Raw genomic sequence first — 19904 nt, 5'->3', positions numbered from 1 at the left:
TCTCCAAGGTTGAAATGCAGGAAAAAATGTTAAGGGCAGCCAGAAAGAAAGGTCAGGTTACCTACAAAGGGAAGCCCATCAGACTAACAGTGGATCTCTGCAGAAACCCTATAAGCCAGAAAATAGTGGGGACCAATATTCAACATTCTTAAAGAAAAGAATGTTCAACCCAGAATTTCATATCCAGCCAAACTAAGCTTCATAAGCGAAGGAGAAATAAAATCCTTTACAGACAAGCAAATGCTGAGGGATTTTGTCACCACCAGGCTTGCCTTACAAGAGCTCCTGAAGGAAGCACTAAATATAAAAAGACAAAACTGGTTTCAGCCACTGCAAAAACACACCAAAATATAAAGACCAATGACACTGTAAAGAAACTGCATCAACTAATGTGCAAAATAACCAGGTGGCATCATGATAACAGGATCAAATTCACACATAACAATATTAACCTTAAATGTAAATGGGCTAAAAGCCCCAATTAAAAGACATAGACTGGCAAATTGGATAAAGGGTCGAAACCCATCAGTGTGCTGTATTCAGGAGACCCATGTCATGTGTAAAGACACACATAGGCTCAAAATGAAGAGATGGAGGAATATTTACCAAGCAAATGGAAAGGAAGAAAAGGCAATGGTTTCAATCATACTCTCTGATAAAACAGACTTTAAACAGAGACACAATAAAAAAAGAAAATTTCAGGCCTATGTGCCTGATGAACATCAATGCGAAAATCCCCAGTAAAATACTGGCAAACTGAATCCAGCAGCACATCAAAAAGCTTATCCACCAGAAACAAGTCAGCTTTATCCTGGAATGCAAGGATGGTTCAACATATGCAAATCAATAAACATAATCCATCACATAAACAGAACCAATGACAAAAACCACATGATTATCTCAATAGATGCAGAAAAGGCCTTCAATAAAATTCAACACCCCGTCATGCTAAAAACACTCAATAAACTAGATATTGATGGAACATATCTCAAAATAATAAGAGCTATTTATGACAAACCCACAGCCAATATCATGTTGGACAGGCAGAAGCTGGAAGCATTCCCTTTGAAAACCAGCACAAGACAAGGATGCCCTCTTTCACCACCCCTATTCAACATAGTACTGGAAGTTCTGGCCAGGGCAATCAGGCAAGAGAAAGAAATAAAGGGTATTCAAATAGGAAAAGAGGAAGTCAAATTGTCTCTGTTTGCAGACGATGTGATTGTATATTTAGTCTCTGTTTGCAGACGATGTGATTGTATATTTAGAAAACCCCATCATCTCAGCCCAAAAACTCCTTAAGCTGATAAGCAACTTCAGCAAAGTCGCAGGATACAAAATCAATGTGCAAGAATCACAAGCATTCCTATACACCAACAACAGACAAGCAGAGAGCCAACTCATGAGTGAACTCCCTTTCACAATTGCTACAGAGAGAATAAAATACTTAGGAATATAACCTACAAGGGAAGTGAAGGACCTCTACAAGGAGAACTACAAACCACTGCTCAAGGAAATAAGAGAGGGCACAAACCAATGGAAAAATATTCCATGCTCATGGATAGGAAGAATCAATATCATGAAAATGGCCATACTGCCCAAAGTAATTTATAGATTCAATGCTATTCCCATCAAGCTACCAGTGACTTTCTTCACAGAATTAGAAAAAACTACTTTAAATTTTATATAGAACCAAAAAAGAGCCCCTATAGCCAAGACAATCCTAAGCAAAAAGAACAAAGCTGGAGGCATCACATTTCCTGACTTCAAACTATACTACAAGGATACAGTAACCAAAACAGCTTAGTACTAGTACCAAAACAGATATGTGGACCAATGGAACAGAACAGGTACCTCAGAAATAACACCACACATGTACAACCATCTGATCTTCGACAAACCTGACAAAAACAAGCAATAGGGAAAGGATTCCCTATTTAATAAATGGAGCTGGGAAAACTGGCTAGCCATATGCAGAAAACAGAAACTGGACCCCTTCCTTACACCTTATACAAAAATTAACTCATGATGGATTGAAGACTTAAATGTAAAACCCAAAACCATAAAAACCCTAGAAGAAAACCTAGGCAATACCATTCAGGACATAGGAATGGGCAAAGACTTCATGACTAAAACACCAAAAGCAATTGCAACAAAAGCCCAAATTGACAAATGGGATCTAATCAAACTAAAGAGCTTCTGCACAGCAAAAGAAACTGTCATCAGAGTGAACAGGCAACCTACAGAATGGGAGAAAATTTTTGCGAGCTACCCATCTGACAAAGCACTAACATCCAGAACCTACGAGGAATTTAAACAAATTTACAAGAAAAAAAAAAATAAAAAAATGAGCAAAGGATATGAACAGACACTTTCCAAAAGAAGACAGTTATGTGGCCAAGAAACATATGAAAAAAAGCTCATCATCACTGGTCATTAGAGAAATGCAAATAAAAACCACAATGAGATACCATCTCATGCCAGTTAGAATGGCAATCATTAAAAAGTCAGGAAACAACAGATGCTGGCGAGGCTATGGAGAAACAGGAACACTTTTACACTGTTGGTGGGAGTGTAAATTAGTTCAATCATTGTAGAAGACAGTGTGGTGATTACTCAAGGATCTAGAGCTGGAAATACCATTTGACCCAGCAATCCCATTACTGGGTGTGTACCCAAAAAATTATAAATCATTCTACTATAAAGATACATGCACATGTATGTTTATTGCAGCAGTGTTTACAATAGCAAAATATTGGAAACAACCCAAATGCCCATCAGTGATAGACGGGATAAAGAAAATGCAGCACATATATACCATGGAATACTATGCAGCCATAAAAAAAGAATGAGTTTATGTGCTTTGCAGGGACATGGGTAAAGCCAGAAGCCATCATTCTCAGCAAACTAACACAGGAACAGAAAGCCAAACACCACATGTTCTCACTCATAAGTGGGAGTTGCACAATGAGAACCCATGGGCACAGGGAGGGGAACATCACCCACTGGGGCCCATTGGGGGGTGGGGGGCAAGGGGAGGGAGGGCATTAGGACAAATACCTGATGCATGCATGGGTTAAAACCTAGATGACGGGTTGATAGGTGCAGGAAACCACCATGGCACATATATAACTATGTAACAAACCTGCAGGTTCTACACATGTATCTCAGAACTTAAAGTAAAAGAAATAAAAAAGACTCTAATGCATTCTTCCATATGCCAATTGTATTTTTCAGCTCCAGAATTTCTGCTTGATTCTTTTTAATTATTTCAATCTCTTTGTTAAGTTTATTCGATAGAATGCTGAATTCCTTTTCTGTGTTATCTTGAATTTCTTTGAGTTTCTTCAAAACAGCTGTTTTGGATACTCTGTCTGTAAGGTCGCACATCTCTCCTTCTCCAGGATTCTTCTTGGTACCTTATTTAGTTCATTTGGTGAGGTCATGTTTTCCTGGATGGTCTTGATACTTGTAGATGTTCATCTGTGCCTGGGCATTGAAGAGTTTGGTATTTATTGTAGCCTTCACTGTCTGGGCTTGTTTGTACTCATCCTTCTTGGGAAGTCCTATTCAAAAGGATTTGGGTGTTATAGTCTAAGCTGTATCTGCTTTAGGGGGCATCCCAAGCCCAGTAACACTGTGGTTCTTGCAGACTCAGAGAGGTACCACCTTGGCAGTCTTAGGTAAGATCTGGAAGAATTCTCTGGATTATCAGGCAGAGACTTGTTTTCTTCTCTTACTTTCTTCCAAACAAATGGAGTCTCTCTCTGTGCTGAGCCACCTGGAGCTGGGGGTGGAATGACACAAGCCCCTCTGGGACCATGGCCACTTAGACTACACTGGGTCAGACCTGAAGCCAGCATAGCAATGAGTCTTTTCCAAGGCCTACGGTAACTACTCCCTGGCTACTGTCTATCTTCACTCAAGGCCCTGGGGTTCTACAATCAGCAGGTGGCAAAACCAGTCAGGCCTGTGTCCTTCCCTTCAGGGCAATGAATTCCTCCAGGTCCTGGGCAGGTCCAGAGGTGACATCCAGGAGCCAGAGATTAGAGTAAAAAACCTTAAATGTCTACCTGGTGTTCTATTATACTGCAGTTGACCTGGCACTCAAATCACAAGATGCAGTCCTTCTCACTCTTTCCTATGCTTTCTGAAGGCAGAGGAGCCTCACCTCATGGCCAGTGCTACCACAGTCCCATGGGAAGTACTGCCAGACTGCTACTGATGTTCCTTTAAGGCCCAAGGGCTCTTCAGTCAGCTTGTGGTAAATCCTGTCTGGCCTGGGACTCACCCTTCAGGCAGTGGCCTCCCCAGGAACCAGGGCAGGTCCAGAAATGCCATCCAAGAGCCAAATCCTGGAACAAGGGACCTCAAGAGCCTGCTTAGTGCTCTATCTTCCTGTGGCTGAGCTGATACCTAAGGTGCAAGACAAAGTTCCCTTTTCTTTTCCCTCCACTTCTCTTAAGCAGTCTTGCCTTGTAGCTACCACAGCTGGGAATGTGTTGAGTCTCACCTGAAGCCAGCAAATCTCAGAGTTTCATCCAAGGCCCTCAGTACCTGGGTATCTCTGCTGGTTATTCAGGGCCCAAGGTTTCTTCAGTTAGCAGGTAGTGAATCCTGTCATGACTAGGTCCTTCCCTTCAAGGCAGCAGTTTCCCTTGTGTCCCAGGGTGTGTCTAGAAATGTCATCTGGGCCTAGGGCCTGGAAAGGGGCCTCATGACTCTGACTGGTACCCTATCCTGATGTGGCTGAGCTGCTATCCAAGATGCAAGACAAAGTTCTCCCTGCTCTCCCCGCTTCTCTCCTCAAGTGGAAGGAAGGGGTCTCTTTTGGAGCCACGAGCTGTGCAGCATAGGGTTAGGTGAGGGCTGATTCTAGCACTCTTTTAGCTGCCCCAGCTGGTGTCTCAGTAGGTCATATGCCCCCGAGTCCACTGACTCTGGGCCCAGTTCAGCACTAGAAGTCACTTGGGAGTTGCAGTCCTTGTGGCCTAGCCTGCCTTTCGAGTTTATTTAGAGCTCCAGAGTACTTTAGCCCATGGTAGTGAGGCTTGTGAGAATTCAAGTTCTGACCACTGGGATTGGTGATTCGCCTCTGGCTAGGGCTGGTTTAAATGCCGCCTCCGTGGGCAGGCATCAGCTGCATTTGGTCCTATTTTACTTTCTGCTAGAACAGCACAGCACTAAGTTCAGTGCTTCACAATGTTTCTGGGCACTTCTTCTCCCCAGTGCACAGAAATGCTCTCTGCACCATGCTTCCATGGTTGGGGGTTGTGGGAAAGGGGTGGTGTTGGCAATCAGTTGGCAAAGACTGATTTTCCTACCTCTTTGGTGCCTCTTTCAGCAATATAAAGTTAAAACCAGGTACTGCAAGTACTCACCTGATTTTTGGTTCTTAAGAAAGTGCTTTTCTTTTGTGTGTGTGTGTAGATAGTTGTTAAATTGGTGTCCTCGTGGAGGAGACAGTCAGTGGAGCCTTCTATTCTTCCATCTTGTGCCACCTCCCTCATGTATGTGCATTAGTAGTATTGGCCTATAGTTTTATTTTTTGTTGTGTCTTTGTCCCGTTTTGGTATTAAGGCAGTGCTTGTTTTGTAGAATGAGTTTGGATGTTCCTCTTCAATTTTTTTTGAAAGGGTTAGAGTAGAATTGGTATTAGTCCTTTAAATGTTTGGCAGAATTCATCAGTGAAGAAATTAGGCCCTGGGAGACTTTTTATTATGGCTTCAATCTCATTACTCATTATTGGTTTGTTGAGGTTTTCTATTTCTTCATGGCTCAATCTTGGGAGGTAGTATGTGTCCAGAAATTTATCAATTTCTTCTGGGTTTTTAAATTTGTTGGCATATAGTTGTTCATTATAGTCTCTAATGATTCTATGTATTTCTGTGTTCTCAGTTGTTATGTCTTCTTTTTATTTCTGATTTTATTTGAGTCTTTTCTCTTTTTTAGTCTAAGTAAAGGTTTGTTGATTTTATTTTTTCAGAAAACCAAATTTTCATTTCATTGATCTTCTGTATTTTTTAAAATCTCAATTTCATTTATTTCTGCTCTGATCTCTATTATTTCTTTCCTTCTCCTAATTTTGGGTTTGGTTTGTTCTTGCTTTTCTAGTTCCTTGAGGTGCATCATTAGCTTTTTAATCTAAAGTCTTTTTAATTTTTTGATATAGGCATTTGTTACTATAAACTTTCCTGTTAATAGTACTTTTGCTATGTATCCCATAGATTTTGGCATGTTGTATTTCTATTTTCATTTGTTTCAAAAAAATTTTTAATAGCCTTTTAAACTTCTTCTTTGACCCATTGCTTGTTCTGGAGCATGTTTTTAAAATTTCTTTGTGTTTATGTATTTTCTGAGGTTCTTCTTGTTACTGATTTCTGGTTTTATTTCCTTGTGGTAGGAAGAGATACTTGGTATGATTCCCACGTTTTTGAATTTTTTCAGACTTGTTTTGTGGCCTAATATATGGTCTATTCTGGAGAATGTTCTATATGCTGATGAAAAGAATGAGTATTCTGCAGCAGTTGGGTGAAATGCTTTATAAATGTCAGTTATGCCTATTAGGTCCAGTGTGAAGTTTAACTCTGATATTTCTTAGTTGATTTTCTGTCTGAATGATCAGACCATTACTGAGTGGGTGTTAAAGTCCCCTACTATTATTATATTGCAGTGTATCTCTCCCTTTAGATCTATTAATGTTTGCTTTATATACTTGGGACCTGTGGTTTTGGGTGCATACATATTTAGAATTGTTATATCCTCTTGTTGAATTGACCTCTTTATCATTATATAGTGAACTTCTGTGTCTCTTTTTACAGTCTTTGATTTATAGTCTATTTTATCTAAGTATAGCTACTCCTGCCCTTTTTTTGGTTTACAGTTGCATGGAATATCCTTCCCACCCCTTTTCTTTCAGTCTATTTGTGTCTTTGTAGGTGAAGTGGGTTTCTTGTAGGCAACATACAATTGGATCTTGTCTCTTTATTCATTCAACCGCTCTATGCCTTTTAATTGTTGGAGAATTGAATCCATTTACATTCATTGTTGTTACTGATGAGTAAAGACTTAGTACTGCCATTTTGTTGTTTGTTTTCTGTTTGTTATATAACTCCTCTCTTTCTTTCTTCCTTTATACTATCTTCCTTTGTGGTTACATGACTATCTCTGGCAGTATGTTTTAATTTGTTGCTTTTATTTTTAGTGATTCTATTATAGGTTTTTGCATTGTAGTTACCATAATGGCCCTGTACTTCGAATGAGATTGACTGACTCACTTCAGGAGTAGGCACTTGACCCACTCTAGCCAATCAAAAGAACACATTTTCTAGGCCACAGTGAGTGGTTTAGGAATGGGAATGTGACTTAAGCTGGGCCAATAAGATTTCCCTTGGCATTTTTGCTTCAACTCTCAGGAAAGTGGCAGTTTATTGTATGGAATTTGCCATCTGAAAGGGCAATGTAAAGCTGGAGCCATGGACAAGGCCATCTCCTCTCCTTGTTACAGACCCTGCCTGAGAATAAAATCAGCAAACAGGAAAAAAGGCAGATTCCTGATGACATCATTTCAACCTTAGAATCTAGCTGTGCCCTAAATTTTTGTTACATGTCCCAGGAAAATCATCCCTGCCTCTTTTTTAATTAGTTTAAGATGGTTTGAGCTGTGTTTTCTGAAACTTGTAACCAAGTTTTGACTAACAGGGAAATTGAGCAGGAAAGCCATGCAGTGGTAGAAGAGGTTACCATTATAGAGGGGGCTGAAAACAAGGCAAAAACTGTTGTATCAGAAGACATAAGAAAGATATTATAGCATGAAACATAGGACACTGAAATAATTCCTCAATAGGGAGGTGGTTTTGCTCTTAGTGAGGCAATCAAATCATAAGACAGCAGCTAAAGGCAATTTCCTAGGGATTCAATTGCAATTTGAAGAATGCAGGTAGAAATTTTTTCCCCAAAATATAAAAAGATATTAAAATAGTTTTTACATATAAGTAATTTAATTGAATAGCGTGAGTTGTTTTTAGGACCAGACCATATGATAAATCCCATAGTTAATTTTTGAAAATCTTGTTATTAGGATATTGATAAAAGCAACATCAATTCTTGGTCAGGTTGATCCATCCGTATTTTAGATACTAGGTGGACCCAATGGCCATTTCTTTAACACTTAGATTCTGATTGGCGAAAAGTTATGCTTTCATTGACTAGTGAAAGGAGCAGCTCTGAACTAGCATGGTAGACAGGTAAGTGGACTAGCATTTACTGCACAATAGCATGATAAGTACTATCTTAGAGGTAGGTGCAAGAACATTAAGAACAAAGAGCAGGGATATCTAGATCAGAGTGGGAGTTTTGGAAAGGTTCCTGGGAGATAAGGCTTGAACTGCTATTATAGGATGAGAAAGAATTAATTAGAGATGGGGTGGGAGGATGAGGACATCCCAGACATCAAAAGTACAGAAACATGAAAAATGTTAAGTAGCTCAGGATGGTAGAAATAAAATGTACCTATGGAAGAGGTGGGAAATGATGGTAGGAAGATAGGCAGAGGGCAGCCACTAGGGAATTTGTGTGTTAAGCTTCAGAATTTGAACTCTGAACTGAAATTTATGGGGTACCACTGAAGAATTTTTAAACAGGATATTGATCATTTATTTAAATTCTCTAAGACATAGACATATATTTTAAAAGCTGTAATCACAGTTGAGGTTAGTCATAATTGCATGGCAAATAAGGAAATGAACAATTGCTCTGATCTGTAGGGTGTTATAGGGAAAGCCTTGACTATCTATGAGGCTCTGATCAACAGGGCTTCCAAGGAGTGACTGGGTCATTGTTCTTATGGGGCTTCACCAAACGCCTTGAGCAGAAAGACAGCACTTTGAGAGAAGGAGGCTTTGTACCAGAGGGTGGTTACTGATTCAAATTCATGTATGTTGAGTCCCAGCTGGGGCCTTGACATTGATATTCTGTACTCCTGGATCTGAAATAAATTCAGAAATACAGTTCTTTGGAATGAAAGCAAAAATAAGGGTGGGAAAGAAAGGCAGAATACAGAAAAGAATTAGCCTTACTTTAGTGAGACATTCCCAGCAGGGCATTCTTTTAAGTAGCATGTACTCTGTTCTATTCCATTAATTTTAAAAGCAGGACCACTAGAAATGACTTATCTGAGTAACCCAAAAGATTCAGATCAGCTAGTCAACTAATGGGACCCAGGTCACCTTTTACATGAATGATGCATGAGTAGATGATAGATACAAAGAGCTTTGCTAAGTCTGCCGATGTTTAGTGTCTAAGAAATTGAAGGGTTTCAGTCAAATGAATAAAGATTCTTTCAATATAGTGATTTCCTGTGTTTTGGGAGACTAACTAGTGTATGCTTCTGCTAGCAGTTTATTTTTCTGCTCTGACAAAGAGAAAAAAATTAAAGAAAAAGAAAGGTTGGTGTGTACACATATTAGAAAGATGGAGGATTTATGGAACTGCACTATTTTACTGTTTCTGAACGACCCTTTTTTAATGGAAAAGAGACCTGTGACCTCATTTGCATTTCAAATATTCCTGGAGTGGAATGGTGAAGATCAATGAATTGATTGTCAGAGGAACAGCATGAGTGACAAATTTCTTAGTAAAGAAAAAAGAGACACAAAGAAGAAGGATAGTGAGGTCTTCTTGATTTAGGAGTAATGGAACAAAAAGGTCTCAGTTCTATTCTTCTCATTTTTCTAAAATTTGAATAATCTTAGAGGATAAAATAAAAATGCTGACCTGAAAGTGTGGTTAAATATTTTCTCAGTGTATAATTATGTGGCACTTGAATATGTCCCAACATATATTTTAGTGGTGGGCTCTAGTTTCCCTTGTCTGGGGATATTTTGAGAGGCAATGCAATGTAACAGAAAGTGGATTACATTTGGAAGCAGAAAGCCACTTTTCTAGAAAGCCAGGCCTCAAATGTTTAAGGCCAGAGGTTGTACTTCTTTTCAGAAGGATTAATAGTAGAAACATTTATTATATTCAGAGGACATTGCACTCCATTGTCTCCAACAAAATAATCACTTTAGCACATAATTGTCCCAAATCTAATCCTTAGCAGTCATCAACCGGGTTAGGGTATTTTGAATAGCATCGCATGTTTAATGCCAGTTGTCCTGAGTATGTGGAGCTGCAGCAAGTTAAGCACAGCTCCTTTTTATGACCCTTCTCCAATTCAAGGTGAAGGTCTGGTCTGTGCACTTCCCTTCAGTTTGCTACATCTCGTTAACCAGTTTGGACAAAAAGAGACTTAGATAAGGAGATGAAGATCTACCCTGATTCATGGGCATGTCTGATGGTTTGGCAGGTTGGGCAGTGACTTGGCAAGAACAAAGGTGGAGATTGTTGACCTAGAGGTTTGGGGACCAGCTCTCTGGTTAGAAATCTCAGAATGAGCCCAGTGTTAGAGAATTTGTATATCCTATGTGGATCTCATTGTAGTGGGTTGATTTGTGTCTTCCTCCCAAAAAATACATCTAAGTCCTAACCTCTGGTACCTGTGAATGTGATCTTATTTGGAAAGAGGGTCTTAATAGATGTAATTAAGTTAATGATTTCAAGATGAGGTCATCGTGGATTTAGGGCAGATCCTTAATCCAATGACTGGTGTTCTTATAAGAGAAAAGAGAAAGAGATTTGAGACACAGAGCTACACTGCGAGAAGGCCACGTGAAGACAGAGGCAGACATTGGAGTCAGGCTGCCATAAGCCAAGAAGCAGCTGGAGCCACTAGAAGCCAAAAGAGTGAAGGAAGAATATTCCCCTGGAACTTTTGGAGAAAGTGTGGCCACGCCAACACCTTGATTTCAGACTTTTCCTCCACAATATCCAGAACTGCAAGAGAATACATTTCTGTTATTTTAAGCCACCAAATTTGAGATAATTGGTTATAACAGCCCTGGGGAAAAACAAACCCTTACTGGAGACTCCAATTACTACCTCATGCCAAAAGGGGTGAAAAGGCCAAAGCGGGGGGCTGCAGTGTTGCTGGGTTGAATGACAGACATGGAGAAGAACTATATATTCCAGGGAATGCCTCATACTTTTTTTTGTGAGCAACTGAGGGAAGAACGGGGACATGGAACTACTGAGTCCCCAGGTGTTCTAGAGGGGCTGTCTCTTCATGGGGAATGGGAACAGTGGAGATGGCACTGTATCAGCAGGAGAGCACAAGAGACAAAAAAGCCACATGTTTCAGGCAGTGTGAGTGTGTGTGTGTGTGTGTGTGTGTGTGTGTCTGCATGCGTATGTATGTGTAGAGATTTGACAGAGTAAGAGGCTCTGGAGAAGTTAACAAATCAATACCTAGAGAGAAGAGAATATGGGGATTTTTAAAAAGTGTTTTTGTGGATAGGTGCGGTGGCTCGTGCCTGTAATCCTAGTGCTTTGGGAGGCCAAGGTGGGTGGATCACTTGAGGTTAGGAGTTCAAGACTAGCCTGGCCAACATGGCGAAACCCTGTGTCTGCAAAAAATAAAAAGATTAGCCAGGCGTGGTGGCAGGCACCTGTAGTCCCAGCTACTTGGGAGTCTGAGGCAGGGAATTGCTTAAACCCGGGAGGTAGAGGTTGCAGTGAGCTGAGATCGTACCACTGCACTCCAGCCTGGGTGACAGAGCGAGACTCTGTCTCAAAAAATAAATAAATAAATAAAGTGTTTTTGTGAGTCATACATTTAATTTTCTCTAATACTCTTCAAAAGATAAAAGCAATTTGGATTGCTTTTTTTAAAATGAACTTTATTTTTTAGAACAGTTTTAGATTTACAAAATAATTGAGAAGATGGTAGAGAGTTTCCATATCCCTGTGGTTGGTTTCCCCTATTATTAACATCTTACATTAGTATGATACATTTGCTATAATTAATAAACCAATGCTTACATTTTTATTAATAAAATCCCATAGTTTATTCAGATTTTTTTATTTTTTACATAAAGTCTTTTTCCTGCTCTAGGCTCCTGTGTTAGCCTGTTTTGCATTGCTATAAAGAAATACCTAAGACTGGGCAATTTATAAAGAAAAGAGGTTTATTTGACCGACAGTCCTTCAGGCTGTACAAGGATGGCACCAGCATCTGCCTGGCTTCTGGTGAGGCCTTGGGGAGCTTTCACTCATGGGGGAAGGCAAAAGGAGGAGCCAGTGTGTCACAGGGCGAGAGAGGGGGCAAGAGAGAGGGAAGAAGGTTCCAAACTCTTTTAACAATCAGATCTTGTCATAACTCATTACCACAGGGAGGGCACCAAGCCATTCAGGAGGGATCCACCCCCATGACCCAAACATCACCTATAGGCCCCACCTCCAACACTAGGGATCACATTTTAACATGAGATTTGGAGGGGACAAACATTCAAACGATATCAGATCCCATCCAGGATACCCCATAACATTTAGTTGTAATATGTGTTTAGACTCCTTTTGGCTGTGGTGGTTTTTTAAGCTTTCCTTTGATGTTCTTAATAGTTTTGAGGAGTACGGGTCAGGTATTTTGTAGGATGTTCCTTTATTGGAATTTGCCTGATGTTTTTCTTATGAGTAAACTAGGGTTCTAGGTTTTGAGGAGGAAGACCACAGAGGTAAAGTGCTATTTTTTGTTACGTCATATCAAGGCTACAGATGACTGCCCTTTAAAGTCACCTGTTTATTGAACTTTTCTTTTCTTTAATGGAGCTCTATGCAACAACTGGGTCTGAGGAACCACGGGATTTATTCTGGTTACAATGAACATAGAAGAAACACCTTCTCATTAAAAAAAATCAACAAGCATTACAGAAATATTATATATTGCTTTTAATGAAGACTGTCACAGTATATAAAGACTGCTATTGAGCATCTATATTACATTTCCTAGCTTGAGCTCTCTCTCCTTCCCTGGGCTCTGTTAGAGTTTGGAAAATGCTTTTGTGTATGTAAAGTTTTGATCCCAATAATAAATTTGTGAGACAGATAAACCATGTATTATTGTCCTGGTTTTATAGGAGAGGGTCAAGGATTCTAAGTAACTTGCCCAATATGACACAACAAGTGAATGATGAGGATAGAATTCCACACAAGGCCTGCTAGCTGCAAGTTATTACTCCAGTGCATTAGTTTGCCAGGGCTGGCGTAATGAAGTACTGTATGGCACAAACTGAGTGGCTTAAACAATAAACAGTTATTGTTTCACCAGTCTGGAGGCTAAAAGTCCAAGATCAAGGTATTAGCAGGGCCATGCTCCCTCTAAGGTGCTGGGGAAGGATGTGTTCCAGGCCTCTCTCCCAGCTTCTGGGAGTTCCTTGGCTTCTGGCAGCACAATTGCCATCTTCACATGGTGCTCTCCCTGTGTGCATATCTATTTCCTGCGTTTCTGATGTTAATTGTTGAGCTGCGCTGCCTCTCTGAGTGTCCCTTATTTCTTTTATTAGCACCTCGCTGTTTGGTTTCCACCAGAGGTCTAGCGCAGAGTTTGGAGGCACCCTGATTTCAGAATCTCAAGATTGCATCTCCTGTGAGTGGGAAGAGTTTCTCCCCTGCATTTAGTGTTCTGCAAAGGTGCAGATGTTCCAAACAGCCCTGCTGACCAACTTCCTTTTAAAATGCCAGAGCCATTAAGTACAGTGAATTTGTTCTACTTGAGAAGGGTGGGTTGCAGTCAGCAGGAGTAAAAGCCTGTCACTTATTGGTCTAAAAACGTGTTTAGCAGCTACAAATAACCCTTTGGATTAATGGAATCAACAGTCTTTAGGTCTCCAGATGTAAAGAGGCCTTTTATTAGACATGCATTCATTTATTCAACAAGCCCTGGTGGCGGTTTGAGTTGAGCTAATGCTGATTTGAGGCTGATGTCCTTCCTCTTAAGGCTATCTTCAATAATTATTCTGTTATTGACACATCACTGACCCAGGCATGACTAATGGTTTAGTATTACTGAGAGATGCAGCTAAAGGTCAACTAAAAGGGGACGTGCGGGGAGTCGCGCTGACATTTCTACTGTACAACGGTGGAGCAAATGGAGATTTTAAGGGGGTAGACCCCACTCAGTATTTACAGCAGACTTGAGTGCCATTACAGTGCTGCGTAATCGAATTTCTCCCTTTTCTGAAATCTTTGTTCTGCTTATTAATTAAGTGAAATGACACAACAGGGTGAGCACTGGAGGTCTGTGGCACACTTAGGTGCATTGTTAGGCTGGCGGCATGGGCTTGATTACAGTCAGTGCACACAGTAGCACGTTACTTATTGGGTAATAACACAGACCCAGGAGTGTCTTTTTAAGAGTTGAGAGAGGCATTTTCAGATACAGAAAAAAAAATGTTTTTAATGAAATTTAGAAAATGGGGTCAGAGTATAATTTATCGACTATATCATTCCCTTCAGCATCTGCAAAGATAGAAGCCAGGGAGGAAGAAAGAATTTAGAGCTCTAGGGTATTTCTCATTAGCTACATCCCCCTTTTTCACGTCCACCTATAACCCTATGTCAATGCATCGACTGTTTTTCTAGGCAAGGTTTACTATCATCTCCTCAAGATGCCTTTTTATTTTAAATACTGAAGGGCTTGCCTGTCAAAGACTCTGGTCAATTGCTTTTTGCTGTTATCAGTTTTCTAACGTGTAAAATGGGCAGGCGAGTCCTTGAGGCAGTACTGCCTCACAGAGAACTTGGGTGAGGCAATGGGCCCAAAACTCTTTGTGTTCTGTGCTTGAAGACTTGCTGGAAAACATTAAAGTAAACCATAATCACAGATCCGTGCCATGCCCATTAAAATGATACAACACATGTTTCCTGAATGCACACAGGAACCTGAGTGGGACTTTTCTCCTTGTTCTCCGTGGTGGACGTGGAGATGTGCTGCTTAATCGTCTTTCAGGACTTAGGTCTGACTTCCCAGCCACTGGTCTGCAAGCAGATGGCTCACGGCATTCAGTTCCTTTCAGGGATGTCTCAGATGAGGAGAGCAGCCTTGAAGAGGTCACAGCCCCTTCCTGGGCAGCTACATCCAATGACTGGCTGATGAAGGGGTAGAGAGGCCTGGCTCTCTCCCCAACTGGAATAGCATTGAGAGGTCAGTCCATCTTCAGAATTCCCCAGTGGGCCAGCGAGATGTCCACTGAAACTTCATTGTAGCCCAGCTTTCTCCCTCTGCCTAGTCTTACTCCCTTCCTTTCCTACCCCTTCCCTTCCCTTCCCTCCCCTCCTTTCCTCTCCCGTCCCCTCTTCTCCCCTTTCTTTTCCTAAGAGTTAAATCCTAACAGCACTCCCTAAAAATGTTCTGCACACTAATCTCTGTCTCAGAATCAGCTTCCTGAAAACCCAAGCTGCAACATTCATAAAATTATATATGTATCATGTACTAGGCTCCAAATACAGAAGAGATTTGAGGACCGACTGGATGGGGTGGCAAAGACAATATGCTCCTCATTGATGAGAGAACTCTGGTTTGTGATTAGAGCTGTTATGTGGAATTTGCAGGCTGGAACACAGCTGCTCACAGCCCCCTGCTTTAATCTGGGATCTCATGGCCACAGCCCCCTCAGAGCAAAACTCCTTTCAATTCTCTCCCCTTGAAGGCTGAACCATGCTGGGCCTGGTTTACTGGAACCATGACTGTATTCCACAGCAGATGTTAATGAAGAATGGGCACATGAGGTGGAGAGTACTTTCTGATTGGCTAGTGCATTTTGAAGAGAACATTGAATCTATTAAAATGTGTAATTGGGAAACAGAGCCTATGATGCCAACTACATATTTTTTGTGACCTTTGTTTAAAGGGTTTCATTCAGTTCTCTAATAAGTGAAGGGAACAGTTCCAACAGTGCCATCTATTTATTTTCTTCCCCCTTTTCCCTTTTTCAGAGCAGACAACATGATGCAGACCTTTCCTATGTCCCAGATCTGTGTTTATTTGCTCCTGCCATTTGCTTGGCTCTATTGTTAAAAGAAGAGAATATGGGAAAAAGAAAAGTTATGCTCCTTAGAGTCTTTTCTAATTAACTGTTTGAAAGAGACTTTAAAAAATGCCTAAGTGTGAGGTTATTTGTATGTCTAATTTCGTTTTTATGTTACACTTACTTTTAAGTGTAATTTACCAAGGCTTAACACTTGTATTCTTTCAGGGGCATTACGAAGAGCATTGCACATTTATTACAACCCTTTAAATGGCTGTGTTTTATTTCCATATGCTTTTAAATGGTTATTGAGTGGATTTGGTGCTCTTCCTGTAGTTAAAGTGCATTTTTTTATTGTACATAAATGGTAAATAATTGATACCTGCCATATGCTTCTCTCCCTTTCTGAGCTCCCCTTTCCCTTTCTCCTCTTCATTCTCTTCCCTTCTCTCTTCCTATTGGTTTATGCTCTTATTGTGCTCGCCATCCTTTCCTCTCCTCTCTGCAGGTTTCCACTGCTTTCAACACCATTTTCCTTGCCTCTCAATGTGCTCATTTGAGAGAGAATTTTCACATGGGTTCTGAAGACCGTTGCATTATCCTGTGGGGGTGAAGTGGGGAGGGTAAGGGCAAACAGCTTTATTAGGTTATTCCTGAATCAAGAATTTTAAATAAGAGAGTGGTTTCAGAGAACGTTTTTTAAAAATTATTCCTTTCTTCAGATTGCCGAATTGATATTGGACTAATTCTTGTTGGCTGTCCCTTTTTCTCTGGCCAGTGAGAGCCTCTAGAAGCCTGAAATTAAGGATGATGTGGCCAAGTGTCTGAGAGCATTCTTAGCAGGCAGTTTCTCAAGGCCAACAGTTTTAAAAGATCTCTCATTAGGGAAATGAGAAGAAATTGTGCAAGAGAAAATTTAAAGAATGTTCAGTCTTTGATAAACTTGTTTTCAGGAAATTCCTACTATATTAAGGACACAGAACTATAGAAATTTTAGATTTCTTTGCTTTTAAGTCTAAAGAAGGCAACAATTAAAAGCCATTTATAGATGTTGCAACCCACTAACACTAGAATAGTTTTCCTTTTTGAGACAAGAAGGAGTTGAAAATTCATATGGAAATGCAAGGGACCCAGAATAACCCAAACAATCTTGAAAAAGAACAAAGTTAGAGGACTCACACTTTCCAATTACAAAACTTACTACAAAGTAACAGTAATCAGGACAGTGTGGTTCTGGGACAAAGATAGGCATATTGATCAATGGAACAGAAATGAGAATCCAGAAATAAACCTACATGTCTATGGTAAATTGGTTTTCAACAAAAGTGCCAAGTTCATTAAAAGGAGAAAGAATGGTCTATTCAACAAATCGTGCTGGTGTAACTGGATAGCCACATGCAAAAGAATGAAGTTGGATTACCACTTTAAACGATATACAAAAATTAACTCAAAATGAATTGAAGACCTAATGATAAGAGCAAAACTATAAAACTCGTAGGTGAAAACATAGGGGTGAATCTTTGTGACCTTAGATTTGGCAATGGATTCTTAGATATGACACCAAAAGCACAAACAAAAGGAAACAAATAGATAAACGGGACTTCTCTAACATTTAAAACTTCCCTTCTTGTTCAGAGAATACAAGAAAGTAAAAAAGACTGACAGAAAGGGAGAAGAAAATATTCAAATCATATATTTGATAAGGGACTTATATCTAGAGTGTTAATGCTTACAGCTCAATACTAGATAACCAGACATTAAAATGGGCAAAGGATTTGAATAGAAATCTCTCTAAAAAAGATATATAAAAGCCCGACAAGCACAAGAAATGACACACAACACATTATTAGCCATTGGGGAAATGTAAATGAAAACCAAAATGAGATACATTTCATACCCACTCTAATTAAAAAACAAAAAATAACAAGTGTTGGCAAGGGTATGGAGAAATTGGAATCCTTATGCACTGCTGGTGGGAATGTAAAATGATGCAGCCATTTTGGAAAACAGTCTGGTCATTCCTTAAAAGGCTAAACACAGAGTTACCATACAACCCAGTAGTTCCACCCCACCAGTATCTACTCAAGAGAAATGAAAACATCTGTTTGCACAAACACTTGCACATAAAATGTTCCTAGCATCATTATCCATAATAACTAAAAGGTAGAAACAAACCAAATGTCCATCAACTGATGATTTAATAAATAAAATGTGGTATATCCATACACTGGAATATTATTTGGCTATAAAAGGTGTGGAGTACTGACACATGCTAGAGCATAAATTTATTTTCAAAACATCACGCTAAGTGAAAGAAGCCAGCCACAAATGTTCATATACTGTGAGATTCTATTTATATGAAATATCCAGAATTGGTAGAAAGTAGAGACATAGAATTTGGGAGGCTGAGGTGGGTGGATTACTTGAGGTCAGGAGTTCAAGACAAGCCTGGCCTACATGGCAAAACCCCATCTCTACTGAAAATACAAAAATTAGCCGGGTATGGTGGTAGGCGCCTGTAATCCCAGCTACTCAGGAGGCTGAGGTGGGAGAATTGCTTGAACCCAGGAGGCAGAGATTGCAGTGAGCCGAGATCAGCTCTCGCAACAGAGTAAGACTTTGTCCCCCGAAAAAAGAAAGTAGAGACACAGAGATAGAAAGTAAATTAGTGATTGCTTAATGCTGAGGGAGAATGGGGAGATTAGGGAGCGATAACAAAAGGATATAGGGTGTCTTTCTGGGGTGATAAAATGTTCTAAAACTGCTTGTGGTGATGGTTTCACAACTCTATGAATATACTAAAAGCTGTTGAGCAGTGTACTTTAAATGGTTGAATTGAGTGGTGTGTGAATTATATTTCAATAAAGCTGTAACAAAAAAAAATCTCCAATGATTAAAAAAAAAAGGAGTTGGAATATTTTGAAGTCAGGGAAGTGTATCTTTACCCAAAAGCAAAGCTACCACTTCCTTGAGTAATAACTTCCAAAGTTCAAGAAACACTTGGTGCAAGTAAACAATTATTCCTGCTTTACAGATGCAACACTCAAGACTCACAGGGTTAAGTGACTTGCCCAAAATTAAATAGATAATTGGTGGTAGCTATGGGGAACCTAGGTTTCCATCTCAGTCTCTTAGTACAGGGCGTTGTTGTTATACCAGCTCTTCTCCATGTTTCCTTCTCAGAGTCCTCTGGAGGCAGCAGAAATAGGAAACAATGCTGCCTTTGCTTGTTTTCTTACATTTTTGTTATGAACTAACCTAACACACAATTCTCAAGTCCTTTTTGGTAGGTAACAAGAACCTCTGATGAAGTTTGTGGCGGGTGTGGGTTAGCTATTGCCTCACAACCTTCATATCAGGTTATCATGAAAGCAGATCTCAGTCCAAATTCTGCCACACACGTGAACATTCATGAAGCAGTCATGTAAGTAGGCACAAAACAGCTCTGATAATCTGCTCTGCAAACATAATGGCATCCTAAGCTTCTGTCCTTTTGGGTGCATGCATCCCTGCTTGCATGAAAATCCACTTGAGGTGGACATGAAGATATTCCAGAGGCAGGATTCTGTTCCAACTGCAGTTCAGGCAACCAGAGATCCTCCTGGCTAATGGCTGGACGTGGGGCCATTCAGAAAACAAGCTCTGTGCATCATCTCAAAAGAGATCGTCCATAGGCCTGGCTAGATTCTGATACCCTGTTTAAGCACGGGTGGGGAGAGTGTCTTAAATATTTTAGTGTATATATATATATATATATCTTGAACACAGTTTTACCAACAAAGCCCATTTCTAACATTCTTGAACCTCAGAATCCACTGCTATAAAATAGGGTATTTAAGGAGTATAATAAATATGTGAAAAATCCTGTAATATGCCAATTAGAAAGTCATTGATTTATTGAATAAGTAGCCCCTTTTAATAGTTCTAAAATTCACTATGCTAATTAACAAAATATTGGGTGCTGATTGAAATATAGAAAGAAGCAGCATTTTTTAGTAGCTG

This window comes from Homo sapiens, chromosome 2 (assembly GCF_000001405.40).
Source record: "Homo sapiens chromosome 2, GRCh38.p14 Primary Assembly".
Classification (NCBI taxonomy): Eukaryota; Metazoa; Chordata; class Mammalia; order Primates; family Hominidae; genus Homo; species Homo sapiens.
The sequence above is the reverse complement of the archived record's forward strand: the minus strand, read 5'-3'. Positions refer to the sequence as shown.